This window comes from Homo sapiens, chromosome 17 (genome assembly GCF_000001405.40).
Source record: "Homo sapiens chromosome 17, GRCh38.p14 Primary Assembly".
NCBI classification, from domain to species: domain Eukaryota; kingdom Metazoa; phylum Chordata; class Mammalia; order Primates; family Hominidae; genus Homo; species Homo sapiens.
This window is the reverse complement of record NC_000017.11, coordinates 4,896,819-4,917,003: the sequence shown is the minus strand read 5'-3', so window position 1 is coordinate 4,917,003 and position 20,185 is coordinate 4,896,819. Positions and strand designations below refer to the sequence as shown.

The window sequence follows — 20,185 nt, the reverse complement described above, 5'->3', positions numbered from 1 at the left end:
GGGCAACATAGTAAGACCTCATCTCTGCTAAAAATGAAAACAAAAATAAATCAGCCAGGTATGGTAGCAGGTGCCTGTGGTCCCACCTACTCGGGAGGCTGAGGTGGGAGGATCACTTGAGCCCGGGAGGCGGAGGTTGCAGTGAGCTGAGATTGCACCACTGCAGTCCAGTCTGGGTGACAGAGCAAGACAACTGCCTCAAAATAAATAAATAATAAAATAAAATAAAATAATGAATTAATAAATTAAAATAAGAAACTGGGGGGCGATGTGAGTCCCAGACATTAGCATTTTTGCTAAGATTTTATTTTTATATAATTTAAAACTTACAGAAAAAAATACCAGAATAGTACAAAGAACTGCATGCCCTCTTCCCAGATTCACCATGTGTTAACATTTTGTCTCATTTGCTTGATCATATTGTCTTTCTCCCTCTTGAGTGTTTTTTTCTGGAACCATTTGAGAACAAGCTGAAGACATTATGTTTCTTTACCACTAAATATTTCAGTATGTGTTTCCTAAAACAAAGACATTTCCTTATATACTACAGTGCAGTTATTAATTTTAGGAAATATAACATTGATACAATACTCACATCCAATCTACAGTCCATAATCCCATTTAGCCAATTGTCCTAAAATGTCCTTGACGGTTGTTGTTTTTTGCTTTTTTTCTTTCCTGTCCAGAATCCAATCCAGGGCCATATCACTTTAATTTGCTTTAGTTCCTTAACCTGTCTTTATTTTTCATAAATTTGACATTTTTGAAAATTATAGTCCAGTAATTATGTAGAGTTTCCCTCAATTTGTCAGATGTTTCCACAAGGTTGTATTTGGGTTATGTTTTTCTGGCAGGAATATTACACCAGCGATCTTTCTTGGTGGGTCCTATCAGGAAACACATTATATCAATTTCACCCTTAATGGGGATGTTAACTTTGATCCTTTGGTTAAGGTGGCATCCGCCATGTTTCTCCACTGTGGAGATTCTGTTTTTTTACTTTGTAACTAAGGAGCACTTTCGTGGAGAGATACTTTGATACTATGTAAATATCTTGTTCCTTCTCAATCTCTGGCCTATATCCTGCAGCATCCACTGATAATTTTTTTTTTTTTTGAGACAGAGTTTCACTCTTGTTGCCTAGGCTGGAGTGCAATGGCGTGATCGTTGATCGTGGCTCACCACAACCTCTGCCTCCCTGGTCCCGGTTCAAGCAGTTCTCCTGCCTCAGCCTACTGAGTAGCTGGAATTACAGGCACGCGCCACCACATCCAGCTAATTTTTGTATTTTTAGTAGAGACGGGGTTTCACCATGTTGGCCAGGCTGGTCTCGAACTCCTGACCTCGTGATCCGCCTGCCTCGGCCTCCCAAAGTGCTGGGATTACAGATGTGAGCCGCCGTGCCTGGCTATCCACTGATAATTCTTGCTGGAATTAATTCCTGTCATGATGACAGAAAAACTTTCCTTTAAAAAAAAAGTGATTTAGCTGACTCTGAGCACATTGTCTATGGGTTAGCTCTGTTCTCCGAGAAGCAACAACAACAAAAATAGGCTGGGTGCAGTGGCTCACTCCTGTAATCCCAGCACTTTGGGAAGCGGAGGCGGGTGGATCACTTGAGGACAGGAGTTCAAGACGAGTCTGGGTAACACAGCAAAACCCTGTCTCTACTGAAAAATATTTTTAAAAATTAGCCTGGTGTGGTGGTGCATGTCTGTAATCCCAGCTATGCTCAGGAGGCTGAGGCACAAGAACCCCTTGAACCTGGGAGGCAGGGGTTGCAGTGAGCAGAGATCTCGCCACTTGCACTCCAGCCTGGGTGATGGAGCGAGACTCTGTCTAAATAAATAAAAATACAAAAATTAGGCCTGGCACGGTGGCTTACATCTGTAATCTAGCACTTTGGGAGGCCGAGGTGGGTGGATCACCTGAGGTCAGGAGTTCGAGACCAGCCTGGCCAACATAGTGAAACCCCATCTCTACTAAAAATGCAAAAATTAGCCGGTCATAGTGGCACATGCCTGTAGTCTCACCTACTCCGGAGGCTGAAGCAGGAGAATTGCTTGAACCCAGGAGGCAGAGATTGCAGTGAGCTGAGATCGTGCAACTGCACTCCAGCCTGGGTGACAGAGCAAGACCCCATCTCAAAAATAAATAAATAAATAAATGCAAAAAATAAAAAGTGATTTAAAAGCCAGGGGCGATGGCTCATGGCTGTAATTCCAGTACTTTGGGAGGCTGAGGTAGGAGGATTGCTTGAGTCCAGGAGTTTAAGACCAGCCTGGGCAACACAGTGAGACCCCGGCTCTACAAAGAAATTTAAAAATTAGCTGGGTGTGATAGTGTGGACCTGTAGTCTCAGCTACTCCGGAGGCTGAGGTGGGAGGATCACTTCAGCCTGGGAGGTCAAGGCTGTGGTGAGCTGTAATGGTGGCACTGCAGCCTTGGCAACTCTGTGAGACCCTGTCTCAAAAATAAATAAATAAATGTATACATAAATAAGTGATTTAAGTTTATTCCTTTTTCTTTGTAACCAAAAGAGTCCACCTAAAACAAAACAAAAGTTGGAATCAAAAGTGGGTTTCCGTGGAAGTGATCCTGAGTCCGATAAGGATCCTGAGTCCGATAAGGAGCCTGGATAGTTGAAGTAGAATGTTTCTATCCAAGGTTTGCATGAGAGAGTCACTAATTAATCTGTCACCTGGGGGATCTTGGACTTTAAACATGGGCACTGTTAGCAGGCATTTGGTCAATTGGTGGCTTTAGCTCTGGGTCAATTCCAGGAGAGAAAGTGTATTTTGAGCTTTCTAGACTGGATTAGTTACTGTATTATAAATTCCTAGGGCACCTTGCCAAAGCTGTTCTGCTACTTTGTTTTAATGTCTGTCTGTCCCTCTGGATGGCAGACTTTGGAACAGCAGGCACTCAGAAGCATGGCCCATGTTCTAAGAGGCAGGAGCTGCTCCATGCATTGGGAGAAGATTGAAAACATTAAATAAGGAACCTCCTTGGGCTTTTCTCTCTGTCTCATGTCTCACTTTTATAAGCGTCCTCTGATGTCTTTCTTTTTTTTTTTTTTTGAGACAGTCTTGTTTTGTCGCCCAGGCTAAAGTTCAGTGGCATGATCTTGGCTCACAGCAACCTCCACCTCCTGGCTTCAAGCGATTCTCCTGCCTCAGCCTCCTGAGTAACTGGGATTACAGACACCTGCCACCATGCCCAGCTAATTTTTGTATTTTTAGTAGAGATGGGGTTTCACCATGTTGGCTAGGCTGGTCTTGAACTCCTGACCTCAAGTGATATGCCTGCCTCAGCCTCCCAAAGTGTTGGGATTACAGGCCACTGCGCCCAGCCTAAAACAACGTTTGAACATTAGAATTAAGAATTTTTTTTTTGTAGAGATTGGGGGGTGTCTCACTATGTTCCAGGCTGGTCCAGAACTCCTGAGCTCAACCTATCCTTCAGCCTTGACCTCCCAAAATGCTGGGATTACAGATGACAGCCACCTAACTCAGATACCACTTTCTTTTTAAATATAGACTTCCCGGGCCAGGTGCGGTGGCTCATGCTTGTAATCCCAGGAGGCCGAGGCGGGTGGATCAGCTGAGGTCAGGAATTTGAGATCAGCCTGACCAACATGAAGAAACCCTGTCTCTACTAAAAATACAAAATTAGCTGGGCATGGTAGCATATGCCTGTAATCCCAGCTACTCGGGAGGCTGAGGCAGGAGAATCACTTGAACCCAGGAGGCAGTGAGCCGAGACTGCACCATTGCACTCCAGCCTGGGCAACAAGAGTGAAACTCTGTCTCAAAAATAATAATAATAATAATAAATAAAAATAAAAATAGACTTCCAGCTGGGCGCAGTGGCTCACGCCTGTAATCCCAGCACTTTGGGAGGCCGAGACCGGTGGATCACGAGGTAAGAAGATCAAGACCATCCTGGCCAACATGGTGAAACCCCATCTCTACTAAAATACAAAAAATTAGCAGGGTATGGTGGCGCGCACCTGTAGTCCCAGCTATTTGGGAGGCTGAGACAGGGGAATTGCTTGAACCTGGGAAGTGGAGGTTTCAGTGAGCTGTGATCACGTCACTGCATTCCAGCCTGGGCAACAGAGACTCTGTCTCAAAAAAAAAAAAAATTAAAAATTAAATAAATAAAAATGGACTTCTATTTACTTTTAGTATTAATAGTATAAATAAGTATTGGTAGTAGGAGCATTAAAAGTCAAGCCAGCCATGGTGAAGTGAGGCTGCAGTTGATGCTACTCAGGAGGCCAAGGCAGGAGGATCATTTGACCTCAGGAGTTTGGGACCAGCGTGGACAACATAGCATAGCGAGACCCTGTCTTGATGAAAAAGTTAAAAAATTAGCCAAGTATGGTGGTGTGCGCCTGTGATCCCAGCTATTCAGGAGGCTGAGGCAGGAGGATCATTGAGCTCAGCAGGTCGAGGCTGCAATGAGCCAAGACTGCACCACTGTGCTCCAATCTGGGTGACAGGTGTACTTGCTGTTTTTTTTTTTTTTTTTTTTTTTTTGAGACGGAGTCTTGCTCTGTCACCAGGCTGGAGTGCACCGGCACGATCTTGGCTCACTGCAACCTCTGTCTCCTGGGTTCAAGATATTCTCCTGCCTCAGCCTCCTAAGTAGCTGGGATTACAGGCACGTGCCATCACACCCAGCTAATTTTTGTATTTTTAGTAGAGATGGGGTTTCACCATGTTGCCCAGGCTGGTCTCGAACTCCTGACCCCAGGTGATCCGCCCACCTTGGCCTCCCAAAGTGCTGGGATTACAGGTGTGAGCTACCGTGCCCAGCTGTAATTACTTCTTGCCTCCTTTCTGTTTGGGATTCCCACCTCATCAAACTGTTTAGGTACTGGGAGTTCTTAGTAGTTTTTCTCTGATATTGAATCCTTTCCTCCTGAACTTTGAACATCAGCTGGACCCTCTTCTGGCTTCTGCAGCGGCATCATCTCTGCCACCACCTTCTCTCTTTCTGAAGGCAAGCCCACAATGTGGTGGAAACTGCCCGTGAACGCAGCATCCATTCTTTGCTGATATGGGGATTCTCCTTCTCGATTCATTCTCGTCTTCTGCCTCTGCGCTGAAGTGAGAAGCAGATTCGAGATCTTTTCTTTTCTGTTTTTATTTTTTATTTGTTTTATTTTTTTTATTGCAGCAGAGGCTCACTCTGTTGCCCAGGATGGAGTGCAGTGGCGCAATCTGGGATCGCTGCAACCTCCACCTCCCAGGTTTAAGCAATTCTCCTGCCTCAGCCTCCTGAGTAGCTGGGATTACAGGCACGCACCACCACACCCGGCTAATTTTGTATTTTTAGTAGAGATGGGGTTTCTCCATGTTGGCCAGGCTGGTCTTGAATTCCTGACCTCAGGTGACCCGCCCGTCTCGACCTCCCAAAGTGCTGGGATTACAGGCGTGAGCCACCGCGCCTGGCTGAGATCTTTTCTAACAAGATGAACGGTATGGACTCTCCTTCCTGTACTGGTAAGTTGCAAGGACTTTTGTTTTCTCTTCTTTACCCAAGTTTGTGGAGAGATTGCCTCCTGGGGAGGGTGAGTGCTTAGCCCTGGCCCTGGGGCCGCCCTGGTGGCCTCCCTCTCCTCTTTCTCTCCATCTCCCCCTCCCCCACCCTCCACATTTTTATCCCTCTTTGAAATCACTTTGGAGTTTTTACCATTTTTGTTCATCTCTTTCCTAGGCACCAGCCCCCTTCTGCTCTGGTGTGCTGTTCTCCTCCAAGTCCAGATCTTCCTCTCTCCCGGGGTTTCTCACCGTTTCCCCACGGTGCCCAGGTTTTGTCAGCTCTTCATGGCTTTCTGTGAGGGCTTCATAAATACAGCAGAGATGTCACTGGTTACAGACATTTTCTCCCAGTTTGTTGTTTGCTTGCCTTTCGTTTCATAGTTTTTGCCCTACAGAAGTTGATGTATTTTTTCTTTTTCTTTATGGTCTCTGATTTGGGCTCTAGGGAAAGGAAGGAAGGCCTTCTTTCCTCTGAGATACTAATTAGTTCATTAATTCTTGTTTGGTCTATGACTTTCTTGGCTTCAGTTTTTTTTTCTTTTTCTTTTTTTTCTGGTCTCAAACTCCCTACCTCAGGTGATCCGCCCGCCTCAGCCTCCTAAAGTGCTGGGATTACAGGCGTAAACCACCGCACCTGGCCTCAAGTGGAACGCTTTACTTTTCTTTTTCTTTTTGTTTTTATTTCTGTAGAGATAGGGTTTCGCCATGTTGCCCAAGCTAGTCTTGAACTCCTGGCCTCAAGCAATCCTCCCACCTTGACCTCACAAAGTGCTGGGATTACAGGTTGGAACCACCACCCCTGACCTGAAAATTCTTTGGTTTTTTTTTTTTTGTTTTTTTTTGTTTTTTGAGACAGAGTCTCACTCTGTCACCCAGGCTGGAGGGTGCAATGGTAGGATCACCACTCACTGCAACTTCTGCCTCCCAGGTTCAATTGATTCTCCCCCATTTCCACTTCAGCCTCCTGAGTAACTGGGACTACAGGTGCATGCCACCAACCGGACTAATTTTTTTTTTTTTTTTTTCCTGAGACAGAGTCTCGCTCTGTCGCCCAGGCTGGAGTGCAGTGGCGTGATCTCGGCTCACTGCAAGCTCCGCCTCCCGGGTTCACGCCATTCTCCTGCCTCAGCCTCCCGAGTAGCTGGGACTACAGGTGCCCGCCACCACGTCCGGCTAATTTGTTGTATTTTTAGTAGAGACGGGGTTTCACTGTGTTAGCCAGGATGGTCTCCATCTCCTGACCTCGTGATCCGCCCACCTCGGCCTCCCAAAGTGCTGGAATTACAGGCGTGAGCCACCCTGCCCTCCCTGAAAATCCTCATATATTAAGCCAAGAAAAGGGAGATATATTGGAAAGAGGCTGAGTTTCCTCATTCCATCAAAGGACTTGTGGGCAGCCAGCCTGTAGCAGCTCTGCTGGGCCTCAGGTATTCCTGGGGCGGGGCGGGAACGCTGAGGCGCATTCTTGTCTCTGCTCGTCTGCGTCTCAGCTGCATTCTCTCTTACACACGTAAAAAACGAGGAATGAACATGGCAGCCCATGCATCCAGGTTTCATAGCTTGTGGCAGCAGAGACAGACTGCTTTCCTGTGTTTTGTTTGAGAACATTCCCAGGGAAGGGACTTTCTTTGGCCTGGCTTGGGTCAGGTGTCCTCCTGAGACCAGTCCACTCTGGCCAGGGGTGGGCTGTCTCCGTTCCAGGCAGATCCTCTGGGCCCACAGGATTGGAGACGGACAGTTCTCAGAAGAAGGGAAGGTGCTGGAAGATAAAGCACCCGTGACTTCATGTATTTCCCTCATACGGGCTCGTGCCTGTAATTCCAGCACTTTGGGAGGCCGAGGCGGGTGGGTCGCCTGAGGTTAGGAGTTCGAGACCAGCCTGGCCAACATGGTGAAACCCCGTCTGTACTAAATATACAAAAATTAGCTGGGTGTGGTGGTGCGGCCTGTAGTCCCAGCTACTCGGGAGGCTGAGGCAGGGTAATCGCTTGAACGCGGGAGGTTGCAGTGAGCTGAGATTGCGCCACTGCATTCCAGCCTGGCCAGAGAGGGAGACTCCGTCTCGAAAAAAAGAAAATAGAAATCCGGGTCTACTACACCTCCCTGCTCTGGTTCAGCTGAACCTACTTCTGTCCACAAATCAAGAGCAGGTCTTTGTGTGGAGTGGAGAGGGGGCCCTCCTCTGGCCAGCCTGGGGATATTTGTGCTGTGAGGGCACTGAAGGCAGAGAGGCCGCGGCCTGGCAGCCTGGCCGCTGGAGTCAGCTGCAGCTGTTCTGCGCTGCTAGCCAGAAGCCGGCAGGCGACGGGAGTGGCTTCCTGTTGAGCTAGTTCTTTTGGGTCTTACTTGGAAGTCAAAGCATCCCGGGGTGTGTGTGTCTGTGTGTGTGTCTGTGTGTGTGTGTGGGTCCATGCCTGTGTCTGTGTGTATGTGTGTATCTGGGTCTGTGTGTGTGTGTGTGTGTCTGGGTGTGTGTGTGTGTGTCTGGGTGTGTGTGTGTGTCTGTGTTTGCGTGTCTATGTGTCTGTGTCTGCGTGTGTCTGTGTGTATCTGCGTGTGTCTGTGAATGTGTGTGTGTGTGTGTGTCCGTGGCTGTGTGTGTGGCTGTGTGTGTGTCTGTGTTTCTGTGTGTGTTTGTGTGTCTGTGTCTGTGTGTGTGTGTGTCTTTGTGTCTGTGTCTCTGTGTGTCTGTGTGTGTGTCTGTGTATCTGTGTATGTGTGTGTCTCTGTGTGTGTGTGTGTGTGTGTCTGTGTGTCTGTGTGTCTGTGTGTGTAGGGGAATTGTCAGGCAGCCCATTCAGGTTCTGGGGAATTTTCATTATGAAAATACGAACCATCAGCCCTGGCTAGCAGGCCTGTGCCTGACTCCACTAACTCGGCAGGAAGTCTCAGCCCCCGAGGCAGTCCTCACTGTGAGCAAACCAAACCTAGACAAAGACGGTGGCTGAGCGTTGCTCCCAGCGCTGGCAGGAACGGTGGCTGAGCTTTGCTCCCAGCACTGGCAGGAACGCACTGCTGTGATGTGGGAAGTGGCAAGAGCCCCTTCCGGAAACTCCTCCAGCATGAGGAGCAAGGCAAGCCCCTGGGATGCACTGGTCACTCACAAGTTGCAGCTCCAGCCCCTGGCTCTCAGGTGAATGCGGTCTATGTGTGAGGCCCATGGCCACTGCAGCCTTCCAGGAATGAGGATTTCTACTCACTGTAACCCGCACCTCTCCTATGCAGGTTGTTGGCTCAAATGTAGTTTTGTTAACTATTGCATTTTATTATTATTATTATTTTGAGACAGAGTCTCACTCTGTCACCAGGCTGGAGTGCAATGGCACGATCTAGGCTCACCGCAACCTCTGACTGCCTGGTTCAAGGGGATTCTCCTGCCTCAGCCTCCCGAGTAGCTGGGATTACAGGTGTAATCCCCTGGCTAATTTTTTGTATCTTTAGTAGAGACGGGGTTTCACCATGTTGATCAGGCTGGTCCCAAACTACTGACCTCGTGATCCGCCCGCCTCGGCCTCCCAAAGTGCTGGGATTACTGGTGTGAGCCACCGTGCCCGACTAAGTTTTCTATTTTTAGTAGAGACAGGGTTTCACCATGTGGGTCAGGCTGGTCTTGAACTCCTGATCTCAAGTGATCCACCTGCCTTGGCTGCCCAAAGTGCTGGGATTACAGGCACGAGCCACCTCACCCAGCCCACTATTGCATTTTCTATGTTGTGGGGTGTGTGTGTGATGTATTGTTTATACATGATGTAGTTGTGGTGCTTAAGTTGAGGATTTAGCCCATCATTTGGAGAATGGATGGAAATCAGACCTGAGTGAAACTACTTAGAGCAGGGGACACTGGACTCTGGGCTGAGAGTGTTTTTTTTTTTTTTTTTTTTTTTTGAGACTGAGTCTTGCTCTGTCACCAGGCTGGAGTGCAGTGGCGTGATCTTGGCTCACTGCAAGCTCCGCCTCCCGGGTTCACGCCATTCTCCTGCCTCAGCCTCCCGAGTAGCTGGGACTACAGGCGCCCGCCACCATGCCCGGCTAATTTTTTTTTTTTAATTTTTAGTAGACACGGGGTTTCACCATGCTAGCCAGGATGGTCTTGATCTCCTGACCTCGTGATCCGCCCGCCTCGGCCTCCCGAAGTGCAGGGATTACAGGCGTGAGCCCCCGCGCCCGGCCCGGAGTGTTTTCTTGAAGGACCCTTGCCATAATCACTTTTTTTTTTAATTCCCCCAATCATTTATCCTTTAAGTTACCAACCATGCAATTACACTCTTAAGTTTTTTTTAACATGTACAATGAAATTATTATTGACTACAGTCACTCTGTTGTGCTATCAAATAGTAGGTCTTATTCTATTTTTTTTGTACCCATTAACCATCCCCACCATCCACCTACCTGCCCACTACCCTTCCCAGCCTCTGGTAACCATCCTTCTACTCTCTATGTCCATGAGGTCAATTGTTTTGATTTTTAACTCCCACAAATAAGTGAGAACATGCAATGATTGTCTTTCTGTGCCTGGCTTATTTCACCTAACATAATGATCTCCAGTTCCATTCATGTTGTTGCAAATGACAGGATCTCATCCTTTTTTATGGGTGAATGGTGCTCCATTGTGTATATGTACCACATTTGCTTTATCCATTCATCTGTGTTTTTCTTTTTTCTTTTTTTTTTAAACAGTTTTCTCTCTTGTTTCCCAGGCTAGGATGCAGTGGCATGATCTTGGCTCACCATTCATCTGTTTTTTAAAATTTTATTTATTTATTTACAGATGAGGTCTCACTATATTGCCCAGGCTGGTCTTGAACTCCCAGGCTCAAGCAATTCTCCTACCTCAGCCTCCCAGTGATGACCAATGATGCTGAGCACGTTTTCTTATACCTGTTTGGCATTTGTGTGTCTTATTTTGAGAAGCGTCTATTCAAATCTTCTGCCCTCTTTTTGATCAGATTATTAGATTTTTTTTCTCATAATCACTTTTTGAAGCAAGATTTCAAGTTTGAATCCTGCTGGGGAGGATAGAGTGAATTTATATTAACTGTATTAATTTATGTATATTTCATATATTTGTATATATTTCAGCTCTAGCAGTGAGAATGGCATCCTGGCAGGCCGTTTTGGGAGCTAAACATATAGGAGAAGTGGGCTGGGTTGCTAGAGGGTGAATTACCAGACATGTGGTGTCAGGGCCTGCCACACCCACTATCCATCCTAAACAAGGCAGTCTTAGGCCAACCCCATGATCCTTCTTCAGTGTTGGCACCCCAAGCCCTCAGAGCATCAGGCAGTAGCAACGGGAACAAAAGTGCTGCCTCTGCAGAGAGAAGCCAAGAAGTTGGTCTGGGGCTAAGACCATGGTGAAATGATGCACAGGTGACGAGAAAGCAGAAACTACACAGTAGAAAGGGGACATGCAAAGTAGGGGGAATGGGCAGTGCTGACGAAGTGAGAGGAGCAGAGAGCGGACAGAGCGGCAGAGACAGATCAGGAGACAGGCTCTGGAGCTGCCTTGGCCTCTGACACTGGTCTAGTAAGTTCCAGTCCATGTGCAAGACTACAGGAAACCTAGGAGAAACTTCATTTTTTTGTTTTTTGAGATGGAGTCTCACTCTGTCACCCGGGCTGGAGTGCAGTGGCACGATCTCGGCTCACTGCAACCTCCGTCTCCCAGGTTCAAGTGATTCTCCTGCCTCAGCCTCCCGAGTAGCTGGGATTACAGGTGCCAGCCACCACACCCAGCTAATTTTTGTGTTTTTAGTAGAGATGGGGTTTCACCATGTTGGCCAGACTGGTCTCGAACTCTTGACCTCAGGTGGTCCACCTGCCTTGGCCTCCCAAAGTGCTGGGATTACAGGTGTTGAGCCACCGCATCCAGCCGGAAACTTCATTTTTTTGAGATAGGGTCTCGCTTGTCACCCAGGCTGGAGTGTAGTGTGATCGTAGCTCACTGTGTCCTTGATCTCTTAGGGTCAAGCAATCCTCCCGCCTCAGCCTCCTAAGTAGCTGGGACTACAGGCATGCACCATGATGCCTGGCTAATATTTTTTGTTGTTGTTTATTTATTTTTGTAGAGATGGGGGGTCTCACTGTGTTGCCCAGGCTGGTCTTGAACTCCTGGGCTCAAGTGATGCTCCAGCCTCAGCCTCCCAAATAGTTAGGATTACAGGCATGAGCCACTGTGCCTGGCCAAAACCTTGCTTTTCTGACAGATCTGATTCACCCTAGCTACAGATTCTATAGCACCTGTTTATTTTTATGCTTCTCATAGTCTGGCATCACTGGCTGTTGATAGGTCTCTGTCATTAGATGATAACTCCTTGAGGCTTGTTTTATCCATCTCAATAACCGTAGCACTCGGCCCTGTAAGGGGGAACTTTGTAGGTGTCCACTGATGTTTGAATAAATATTTGCATTTATCACAATTCTTGTCCCAAGCCTTGACGCGGAAGCTCTGGAATAAGCAGCAGCACAGATTTGAGACTTAGTCCATGTACCAGCCACATGCAAAGAGGTAAGCTGGGTCAAAGAGACCCAGAAAGGGAGTCTGAAATGGAAATCGTGGGGTTGATAAGGCAGCAGTGGAAACAGAGGCTTTACACAAGTGTGGGAAATGGACTAGGAGGACACTCTGTTATTTGATGTGTCCTCGCTTGTAACATGGAGGTGATTATGACCTACCTCATAGGTGGGGGAAGGAGACCCAAAGGTGATGGACCCGAAAGTGTTTTGTGAAGGGTAAAATAAACACAGGTGTGCGAGATCAATAGAGTTGATTGATAAGTCTCATGCATTATTGCCAATCTACTTGTGTGACCCTGGATCCCGACCTTAGCATCCCCTTTCATGTATTCAGGACAGTGATCATTGCTTTGCTGGACTGCTGTGAGGAAATGAGATGTAAGCAGAAAATATGCTTAGGCCAGCCCCTCCTACCTCACGAGGAACACCTGGACAGTTTCCTAAAAATACAGATTCCTGGCACCCTAGTCCCGAAATCATAATTCTCTGGGAATGGAGCCTAGGAATCTGAATTTAAAATAAGCACCCCTCCAGGTGATTAGAATGGTTCAAGAAGGCTTTAAAAAACACTGAGGCCGGGCGTGGTGGCTCACACCTGTAATCCTAACCCTTTGGGAAGCTGAGGCAGGAGGATCGCTTTAGCCCAGGAGTTTGAGAGCCGCAGTGAACTATGGTGGTGCCACTGTACTCCTGTCTGGGTGACAGAGTGAGATCCTGTCCCCCCACCCCCTGCAAAAAACAAAAAACAAAAAAAGAAACAGAAAAACAAAAAACATCGAGGCTGGGCGCGGTGGCTCACGCCTATAATCCCAGCACTTTGGGAGGCCCAGGTAGGTGGCTCACGAGGTCAGGAGATCGAGACCATCCTGGCTAACATGGTGAAACCCCATCTCTACTAAAAAATACAAAAATTAGCCGGGCATGGTGGCATGCGCCTGTAGTCCCAGCTACTCCAGAGGTTGAGGCAGGAGAATCGCTTGAACCCGGGAGGCGGAGGTTGCAGTGAGCCGAGATCATGCCACTGCACTCCAGTCTGGGCGCCAGAGCGAGACTTGGTCTCAAAAAAATTTTTTTTAAAAAGGAACATCAAAAGGATCTATTAAGGTGTCATCAGGTGTGTGTGTATGTGTGCACGTGTGTGTTTAGGAGAGTAGGATGGGAAGACGGTACTATCATCTGTGACCACAAGGTGGCAGCAGGGATAGACAAGGAGAAACAAGTCTCCCACCCAGAGGGGCTGGGCATGGGCAAACCTGGCGATCAGGTTGTGGAAGGAGGTGGGTCCTTTACATGATCTCCTTTGCTAGATGGAATCTCTGTACCGCAGGGCTAATCCCCTGTGACCACCTGTCTCTTTATCAGGTCTTTATGGAGACTGTTTTTTGCCACTCTGTCGGCAAGAAAGGCATTGTGAGCTTGGGTGGTGATAGTGTGTGTTCCACATGGGTGAGAATGGGAGGCAAGGGGTGTGTCACATCCCCAGATGTGTTCATCAGTCAGGGTCACCTACACAGGGCAGCTTACTCAAAGGACAACAGTGCCTGCTGAAAGCAGTGTCTCCCACCCCCTGCTACTAGAATTGTGGTTGCAGGTGCCTCTCAGGAGACGCCCACATCTGTGGCTGGGGAGTTGGCCAAATACCAGGCAAAGGACGCTGGGCTGGGGCGGGGCAGGGGCAGGAAACACAGGATGGGGCAGCTGCCTCTGGAAGCAGCCAAAATGTCCCCAGCTGCAGCAGGGGTGAGCAGAGGATTAGGTGACAGTCCCCTAACAGCCCGGAACTAACACCCTCCTCCCCCTCACACAGGCACCCTGGCATGCCCCCTCCAAGCCTGCCAGAGCTCAGAATAACCCTGAGAACCACGCAGCAGGATGGCAAGGGCTCCGCTTGGGGTCCTGCTCCTCTTGGGGCTTCTCGGTACGGACAGGGGCTAGAGGGGCAATTGGACACACACAGATACTGACATGAAGGGACTGGGAAGACAAAGACAGAGACCAAGATGGAGACTTAGACACAGTATTTCGTTCCCAGGCACAGCATAATTGGTTTAGGAGACAGATACTGATAGTACACAGCCTCAGAGGCCTGTGAGGACCCAGGGGAGGCAGAGGGGAGAGAGGTGCTCCAGCCTCTTCATTGCCAATGACCCTTCCTTCTTGACCCCATCGCAGGCAGGGGTGTGGGGAAGAACGAGGAACTGCGTCTTTATCACCATCTCTTCAACAACTATGACCCAGGAAGCCGGCCAGTGCGGGAGCCTGAGGATACTGTCACCATCAGCCTCAAGGTCACCCTGACGAATCTCATCTCACTGGTAAGCTACCCCCACCCTCATCTTAAGCCAAAAATCCCACTTCTGGCCCCAACCGCTGAGCTCTGTCCTAAAGCTCACTTCTGGCCCTGAAATCTCACTTCAATCATCCCCATCTCCCATCTGCAGAATGAAAAAGAGGAGACTCTCACCACTAGCGTCTGGATTGGAATCGTGAGTCAAATCTGGGGAATGGTGTGAGGTCTTGTCCAGGGCACCCCTTTTCCCCCAAACCCCTCCCAGGCAGCGCCAGGTGGGAGATGCAGGGCACGCGGCCTTCCATCCCCCACCCCTTAGGATTGGCAGGATTACCGACTCAACTACAGCAAGGACGACTTTGGGGGTATAGAAACCCTGCGAGTCCCTTCAGAACTCGTGTGGCTGCCAGAGATTGTGCTGGAAAACAAGTGAGAACCGGGCCAGACGCCAGGCTGGAGGGAAGCCGGCCTGGGGTGCGGGCTGGACTTGGTTGGGGAAGGGGGTACTCTGAGAGGGTGCAGACCTGTGCAAAAAGCTCGGTTTCCCCGAGCCCACAGTATTGATGGCCAGTTCGGAGTGGCCTACGACGCCAACGTGCTCGTCTACGAGGGCGGCTCCGTGACGTGGCTGCCTCCGGCCATCTACCGCAGCGTCTGCGCAGTGGAGGTCACCTACTTCCCCTTCGATTGGCAGAACTGTTCGCTTATTTTCCGGTGGGAAGAGCTACTCCGAGGCCCGGACGATTATTGTTGGGGGGGGGCCTTATGGGGCGGGGCCAACCGGGAAGCACCGCCCTCGGGGCGGGGCTTCGCGCTGGAGGCGGAGCCAGGCGTAGGCACTGGGTGGGACGCTCCAGCGCGGCCGGAGGTACAGATGGGAACAGAGGCGTGCGGGCTGGGCTTGGGTGAAGGGGTGGGCTTGGGATCGCGGCCCCGCTAGATCCCAGCTTCCAGGGCTGGGCCTGAGGCCGGGGCCCAGGTCAGAGCTTCTGGGGTGGGCTCCCGGCCCTGGCTCCGCAGCTCTCAGACGTACAATGCCGAAGAGGTGGAGTTCACTTTTGCCGTAGACAACGACGGCAAGACCATCAACAAGATCGACATCGACACAGAGGCCTATACTGGTGAAGCCCCTGCCTGCTCAGAAAAACCCGCTTCTAGACGGGGTCCAGAGAGGGGACTTCCACGGTGGGCTTGCCCCGGACCAACGACACTGGAGGATGACTTCCACAACTGGGTTTAGCTTACCCCTGTCCTGAAATCATTCTCGATTGTTACTCTAGTCCTGCCTTCTGGCTTTCCATACCCTCAACGAGAATGCCCTTTTCTGTCCGTAATTGCCCCCATCCTGACGGCCCATGACCCTGGTGCAGACAGCCGCAGCCTCCTCTTCAGCCCGCTGTCAGCTCGGCGGGCGCCCCGCTCTGACAGCCAGCTGACCGTGCCCCCGTCCCGCAGAGAACGGCGAGTGGGCCATCGACTTCTGCCCGGGGGTGATCCGCCGCCACCACGGTGGCGCCACCGACGGCCCAGGGGAGACTGACGTCATCTACTCGCTCATCATCCGCCGGAAGCCGCTCTTCTACGTCATTAACATCATCGTGCCCTGTGTGCTCATCTCGGGCCTGGTGCTGCTCGCCTACTTCCTGCCGGCGCAGGGTAAGCAGTGGCCCCGAACCTACCCCCAAACCCGGGCTCGCTCCCGGGAGGCGGGGCCCGCTCTCACTGGCTCTCCCTCCAGCCGGCGGCCAGAAATGCACGGTCTCCATCAACGTCCTGCTCGCCCAGACCGTCTTCTTGTTCCTCATTGCCCAGAAAATCCCAGAGACTTCTCTGAGCGTGCCGCTCCTGGGCAGGTGAAGCCGGAGCCCCCGCGGGGGTGTGGCCAGTGTGAAGGGTGGGGGCGTGGCCAAAACCCAGAGACCCCGGGAAAAGCTCTGGCTGTCTCGCCCCGCCCTGGGCTTTATTCGGACGCTGGGTGGGGCTGGTACGGGGATGGAGTCCCTGGTCCGCCGTCCTCCTCACTGCTGCTGGACGTCACCTGGAGGTCTCCCGAGTAGCTCTCTTGGGGGACAGTCCGGCTCAGTGCCTCCCTAGCCCCGCCGCCTCTGGCCCCTAACTCACCCCGTGTCCTGAGCTCACCGGTTCTCCGGGGATTCCGAGGCCTAGCTGCTGTTGCGACTGTCGCAGGAATGAGGCAGACCCCTGCAGACCCCGTCCACACAGGCATAGCCATGCTCCCTGGACTAGGAGCCGGGCGCTGGCGCCCACCGCAGCCCCAGCTTGCCGAACCCCCTGCCCTGCGGCTTGGGCTACCCGGCTCAGCGCTGCACCCGGATCCCTGCCGTCTGGGGCTGGGCCCGCGCTGCCGTCTAGTCGCCGCGCCTCCTGCTGCAGCCACAGGGCTGAGATCTGCATTGGGGGCACAGGGGTTAGCGGGGAGGCAGAGGTCCTTGTTCCCGCTACCCGATCGCCGCGTATCCTAAGCCCCCCAGTACCCCACCTCTAACAAGGTGGTGCCGAAGCTCACGAGGCTGGCTGTGGCTTCTCTCAACACCAGCCCCAGGGTGGGCTTCGGGGCAGGCAGCATCCCCTGCATCTTCGGTTCGGGTGGCTCCAGGGACTTCAGCTCTCTGAACCTCTGCTCCAGATATTCATGGGCTGCGGCCACGGAGAGTTCCAGGGAAGACAGAAGCGGGGGCTGGAGGGCCACCTGGAGAAGGAGCAGAGCAGTAGAGTAGCAGGGCAGGGGTCACAGGGGCGAACAGGAGACCTACCCAGAAGGTCTCGAGGTGCAGCCCTTGGCGGGCGTAGCCTCACCTCGGTGGAGCTGTGGAAGTGGTAGATCCACATCAGGGTGTCCAGGGAGCTGGGGGTCCCCTTCATGGCCGCCACAAGTGGTAGGACAGGAGAAGGGCTGGGGGACGCGTCTGTCGTCGTGTAGGGGGCGCAGCTGGAGGGCGTAACCAGCCCGTACCAGGAGAAGCCGTGTTTGTGAGGTCAGCGCGCGGCGCCTTCGGTAGCTGGGAGGAGGAACGGTGATGTCATGCCTTCCGGGCTCCTCAGGTTCCTTATTTTCGTCATGGTGGTCGCCACGCTCATTGTCATGAATTGCGTCATCGTGCTCAACGTGTCCCAGCGGACGCCCACCACCCACGCCATGTCCCCGCGGCTGCGCCACGTAAGCGCGGAGGGGGCGGTGCAGCCCGGGTCGGGGTGGGGCTTCGTACTAACCTCGTCCCCTAAGCCCCGCCCCTGCCCCAGGTTCTCCTGGAGCTGCTGCCGCGCCTCCTGGGCTCCCCGCCGCCGCCCGAGGCCCCCCGGGCCGCCTCGCCCCCAAGGCGGGCGTCGTCGGTGGGCTTATTGCTCCGCGCGGAGGAGCTGATACTGAAAAAGCCACGGAGCGAGCTCGTGTTTGAGGGGCAGAGGCACCGGCAGGGGACCTGGACGGGTGAGCACAGTGGCCCTGGCCCGGGGGGCCGCGCGGGGTGCCTGCCAGGGGGGAGGCTCCTAAGGCCCACCCCGGTGTTTTCCCCGCCAGCTGCCTTCTGCCAGAGCCTGGGCGCCGCCGCCCCCGAGGTCCGCTGCTGTGTGGATGCCGTGAACTTCGTGGCCGAGAGCACGAGAGATCAGGAGGCCACCGGCGAGGTGGGACAGGAGCCAGAGGCGGGTGGAGCGAGGCAGAGGCCCACCACTGTCTCCCATGCCGCTGGCTCCTGCAGCTGCCTCTTTACTGACTGTGCCGACCCTTCCCCAGGAAGTGTCCGACTGGGTGCGCATGGGGAATGCCCTTGACAACATCTGCTTCTGGGCCGCTCTGGTGCTCTTCAGCGTGGGCTCCAGCCTCATCTTCCTCGGGGCCTACTTCAACCGAGTGCCTGATCTCCCCTACGCGCCGTGTATCCAGCCTTAGCTCGCACCGACTTCAATTTCCCACCCATCTCCAGTAGGAAATTGATTTTGAAAAAGTAGGCTGCCGCCACCACGGCATTATGATCCCTTCCCCCTGCTGATCAATCTGCAGTTTGTGAACTTCACAAGAATGGTGTGTGCCCGTTCCCTGGCGTGTGTAGGCCTGGCCGCAGTCCAGGGGTCAGCAGGAGGAAAGGGTTCACATAGGCTCTCAGGTGCCAGTCTTCCAGAAAGCAAGGACTGCCCTTCATTCAGCCTTGCTGACCTCCCAGCCTTTCTAAGGCTCAGCCCCACGGGACTCTGGTGGCTGCCAGCTTGTGAGCTATCTATCTATATTCATTTCATAGCCAAACAGGAGACCCCTTTGCAGGACTTGCACACAGGGAGGCTGTAGCCAGGAAACCCTCTTCTTCCCTGGTCTGGCTCTGCTGGAGCGGGTGGGAACCAAACACCTTCAGTGCTGGTGGCCCTCAGGCCCACAGGTTTAAGGCTGAGGCTGCCCTGACCCTTCCACAGTCATTTCTTCTAGGTTTTCTTGGCCCAGCACTGCCCATCCCACCCCATGAGGCTCACTCATTGCAGATCCCAGCCCACCCTGCCCCTTTCTTCCCCACCCTGGAGGCTCTCTCTGCCTAGTCTACAGTACTGACAGAAAGCAAGGACATGCGGCCTGCATGGTGGGAGCTGGTTGAATTGTCTTTATTAACAAACAGGATATCCAAGGCCACTACATTGAGGAGGGGTGGGGGGGGAGGGAGAAGGGTTACTTGCTGCTCACACTATATACAGATGCAAGCAAGGGGCGTGGAGAGTGAGGGCTCCCTGCTCCCTCCCTCCACCGGGGAAGGGCATGGGCTAGAAGAGGAGAGGGGGGTCGGGAATGGGGGGAATGTTTTGGCTGGCGGGGTCCCCCCTCCATTCCCTGGAGTTTGGGGGAAGGGGAATCATTAAAGTGCTTTCAGAAAATGAAGAAATGGTCCCTGCCCCTGGAGTGGCTGGTGACCCCCCAAAAATCTAGGGCCCAGTGACCCCCCCCAGGGTCTGGTACATTCAAGGGGGGAGCCGGCTCCCCTGACGTGCAAATAAAGGGGTCCAGGGCCCTGCCCAGTCAGCAGCAGTGGGGTAAGGGGTTCAAGCCCCAAGCACTCTCCTCTCAAATGGAGAAAAGGGGGGAGGGGCTAGGCCCACTCAATTCCTGGGAAGGGGAAGCTGTGTCCCTCCCCAGAAGCTGGGGACAGGCACAGTTTTGGGAAGAGGACATGTTGGGGAAGAGGATGGTCACGTGATCACGAAAGCATCAGGGGTCAGAGGTCACGTTCCCAGCAGGCTCCAGTGAAATCAAACCAGTAAAAGCAAAAGCCCAGGGAGGGGAAAGAGGGGCGGCCCGGGAAGCCTGGCTGCAGGGGGAGAGCTGGGTCCAGTGTGGGACAGCCCCAGCCCAGGGCCCCGTCACCAGTTCATGATGCAGTTACGGTTCAGAGTCATGAAGTAAACTTGGCTGCTGCCCCCAGAGCGGACTGAGGCAAAAAACACCTGGGTGGGGCAGGAGAAGAAGTCACCAAGGGCTGAGGTTGGGGGGGTGTCTCAACTGGGAGAGGGAAAGAAGGGAAGAAGGGGTGGCAGAAGAGTTGAGGGAGACACAGAGACTGCAGGAGGAGACTCACAGTGCCCCTCACCCGGAGGAAAGGCAGGCTGGGATGTTAGGGGAGAGGGTGCACCACTCGCCCCCTGGGGGCCAGCTGGGAAGTCCTCGGAATCTGAAGGGAGCGCAGGGCAGTGGTAGTGGCTGACTGCCCTCTGAGCTCCCAGAGGGGCCCGCTTTCAGGAAGCCACCACCACCATCCTCTCCCCAGAACTCTGCCCAGGGGCCTAGGGTCATGGCAGCCGGGACAGCAGGGCTTTCAGAGGGAAGGAGCCT

General features: G+C 52.3%; 3 protein-coding genes across 33 annotated transcripts in view, besides 11 other annotated features; 1 reads left to right on the top strand and 2 right to left on the bottom strand.

Moving 5' to 3' along the window:
* Nucleotides 6,676-7,502: an enhancer, noted in NCBI's record as "H3K27ac-H3K4me1 hESC enhancer chr17:4812797-4813623 (GRCh37/hg19 assembly coordinates)". NCBI's record gives its function as "activates a minimal SCP1, AML or CMV promoter by ChIP-STARR-seq in naive H9 embryonic stem cells {active_cell/tissue: H9 hESC(naive)}" and the evidence as "EXISTENCE:reporter gene assay evidence [ECO:0000049][PMID:30033119]".
* Nucleotides 7,503-8,328: an enhancer, noted in NCBI's record as "H3K27ac-H3K4me1 hESC enhancer chr17:4811971-4812796 (GRCh37/hg19 assembly coordinates)". NCBI's record gives its function as "activates a minimal SCP1, AML or CMV promoter by ChIP-STARR-seq in naive H9 embryonic stem cells {active_cell/tissue: H9 hESC(naive)}" and the evidence as "EXISTENCE:reporter gene assay evidence [ECO:0000049][PMID:30033119]".
* Nucleotides 7,720-7,889: an enhancer, noted in NCBI's record as "active region_11553". NCBI's record gives its function as "activates an Ori minimal core promoter by ATAC-STARR-seq in GM12878 lymphoblastoid cells {active_cell/tissue: GM12878}" and the evidence as "EXISTENCE:reporter gene assay evidence [ECO:0000049][PMID:35858748]".
* On the top strand, nt 8,327-19,233 carry CHRNE (cholinergic receptor nicotinic epsilon subunit). Of its 2 annotated transcripts, XM_017024115.2 has the most exons (13): nt 8,327-8,685; nt 11,985-12,060; nt 14,241-14,383; nt 14,510-14,554; nt 14,678-14,787; nt 14,917-15,072; nt 15,379-15,479; nt 15,814-16,014; nt 16,097-16,211; nt 17,422-17,536; nt 17,620-17,806; nt 17,897-18,003; nt 18,113-19,233. In XM_017024115.2, the coding sequence occupies exons 2-13, from the start codon at nt 12,051-12,053 to the stop codon at nt 18,266-18,268; spliced, it is 1,446 nt and encodes a 481-aa protein (XP_016879604.1). In that variant the 5' UTR covers nt 8,327-8,685; nt 11,985-12,050; the 3' UTR covers nt 18,269-19,233. The 2 variants fall into 2 exon arrangements, with proteins under 2 accessions (XP_016879604.1, NP_000071.1); NM_000080.4 differs by lacking the exons at nt 8,327-8,685; nt 11,985-12,060 and adding an exon at nt 13,906-13,986.
* Nucleotides 8,329-9,155: an enhancer, noted in NCBI's record as "H3K27ac-H3K4me1 hESC enhancer chr17:4811144-4811970 (GRCh37/hg19 assembly coordinates)". NCBI's record gives its function as "activates a minimal SCP1, AML or CMV promoter by ChIP-STARR-seq in naive H9 embryonic stem cells {active_cell/tissue: H9 hESC(naive)}" and the evidence as "EXISTENCE:reporter gene assay evidence [ECO:0000049][PMID:30033119]".
* On the bottom strand, nt 10,289-17,468 carry C17orf107 (chromosome 17 open reading frame 107). 3 transcript variants are annotated; one of them, XR_007065253.1, is made up of 4 exons: nt 17,176-17,468; nt 16,859-17,068; nt 14,883-16,767; nt 10,289-12,093 (listed from the first exon to the last, which is right to left on the bottom strand). XR_007065253.1 is itself a non-coding variant. In NM_001145536.2 (3 exons), the coding sequence occupies exons 1-3, from the start codon at nt 17,239-17,241 to the stop codon at nt 16,471-16,473; spliced, it is 573 nt and encodes a 190-aa protein (NP_001139008.1). In that variant the 5' UTR covers nt 17,242-17,468; the 3' UTR covers nt 14,070-16,470. The 3 variants fall into 3 exon arrangements, 1 of the variants encoding a protein (NP_001139008.1); XR_007065254.1 differs by having other exon boundaries at nt 10,289-12,000; NM_001145536.2 differs by lacking the exon at nt 10,289-12,093 and having other exon boundaries at nt 14,070-16,767.
* Nucleotides 13,076-13,370: a silencer, noted in NCBI's record as "tiled region #10924; HepG2 Repressive DNase matched - State 8:EnhW". NCBI's record gives its function as "represses a minimal TATA promoter and a strong SV40 promoter by Sharpr-MPRA in HepG2 cells {active_cell/tissue: HepG2}" and the evidence as "EXISTENCE:reporter gene assay evidence [ECO:0000049][PMID:27701403]".
* Nucleotides 13,502-13,721: an enhancer, noted in NCBI's record as "active region_11552". NCBI's record gives its function as "activates an Ori minimal core promoter by ATAC-STARR-seq in GM12878 lymphoblastoid cells {active_cell/tissue: GM12878}" and the evidence as "EXISTENCE:reporter gene assay evidence [ECO:0000049][PMID:35858748]".
* Nucleotides 13,911-14,552: an enhancer, noted in NCBI's record as "H3K27ac-H3K4me1 hESC enhancer chr17:4805747-4806388 (GRCh37/hg19 assembly coordinates)". NCBI's record gives its function as "activates a minimal SCP1, AML or CMV promoter by ChIP-STARR-seq in primed H9 embryonic stem cells {active_cell/tissue: H9 hESC(primed)}" and the evidence as "EXISTENCE:reporter gene assay evidence [ECO:0000049][PMID:30033119]".
* Nucleotides 14,553-15,194: an enhancer, noted in NCBI's record as "H3K27ac-H3K4me1 hESC enhancer chr17:4805105-4805746 (GRCh37/hg19 assembly coordinates)". NCBI's record gives its function as "activates a minimal SCP1, AML or CMV promoter by ChIP-STARR-seq in primed H9 embryonic stem cells {active_cell/tissue: H9 hESC(primed)}" and the evidence as "EXISTENCE:reporter gene assay evidence [ECO:0000049][PMID:30033119]".
* Nucleotides 17,082-17,391: an enhancer, noted in NCBI's record as "active region_11551". NCBI's record gives its function as "activates an Ori minimal core promoter by ATAC-STARR-seq in GM12878 lymphoblastoid cells {active_cell/tissue: GM12878}" and the evidence as "EXISTENCE:reporter gene assay evidence [ECO:0000049][PMID:35858748]".
* Nucleotides 17,592-17,701: a silencer, noted in NCBI's record as "silent region_8050". NCBI's record gives its function as "represses an Ori minimal core promoter by ATAC-STARR-seq in GM12878 lymphoblastoid cells {active_cell/tissue: GM12878}" and the evidence as "EXISTENCE:reporter gene assay evidence [ECO:0000049][PMID:35858748]".
* Nucleotides 17,722-17,871: a silencer, noted in NCBI's record as "silent region_8049". NCBI's record gives its function as "represses an Ori minimal core promoter by ATAC-STARR-seq in GM12878 lymphoblastoid cells {active_cell/tissue: GM12878}" and the evidence as "EXISTENCE:reporter gene assay evidence [ECO:0000049][PMID:35858748]".
* Nucleotides 18,943-20,185, bottom strand: part of MINK1 (misshapen like kinase 1) — a 64,722-nt gene continuing 63,479 nt past the window's right edge. For all 28 annotated transcript variants that reach the window (NM_001321236.2, XM_006721531.2, XM_006721532.2 and 25 more), the window contains one exon: nt 18,943-19,800. In NM_001321236.2, the coding sequence (NP_001308165.1) occupies nt 19,717-19,800 (84 nt within the window). In that variant the 3' untranslated portion in view covers nt 18,943-19,716. The remainder of the gene's footprint in view (nt 19,801-20,185) is intronic.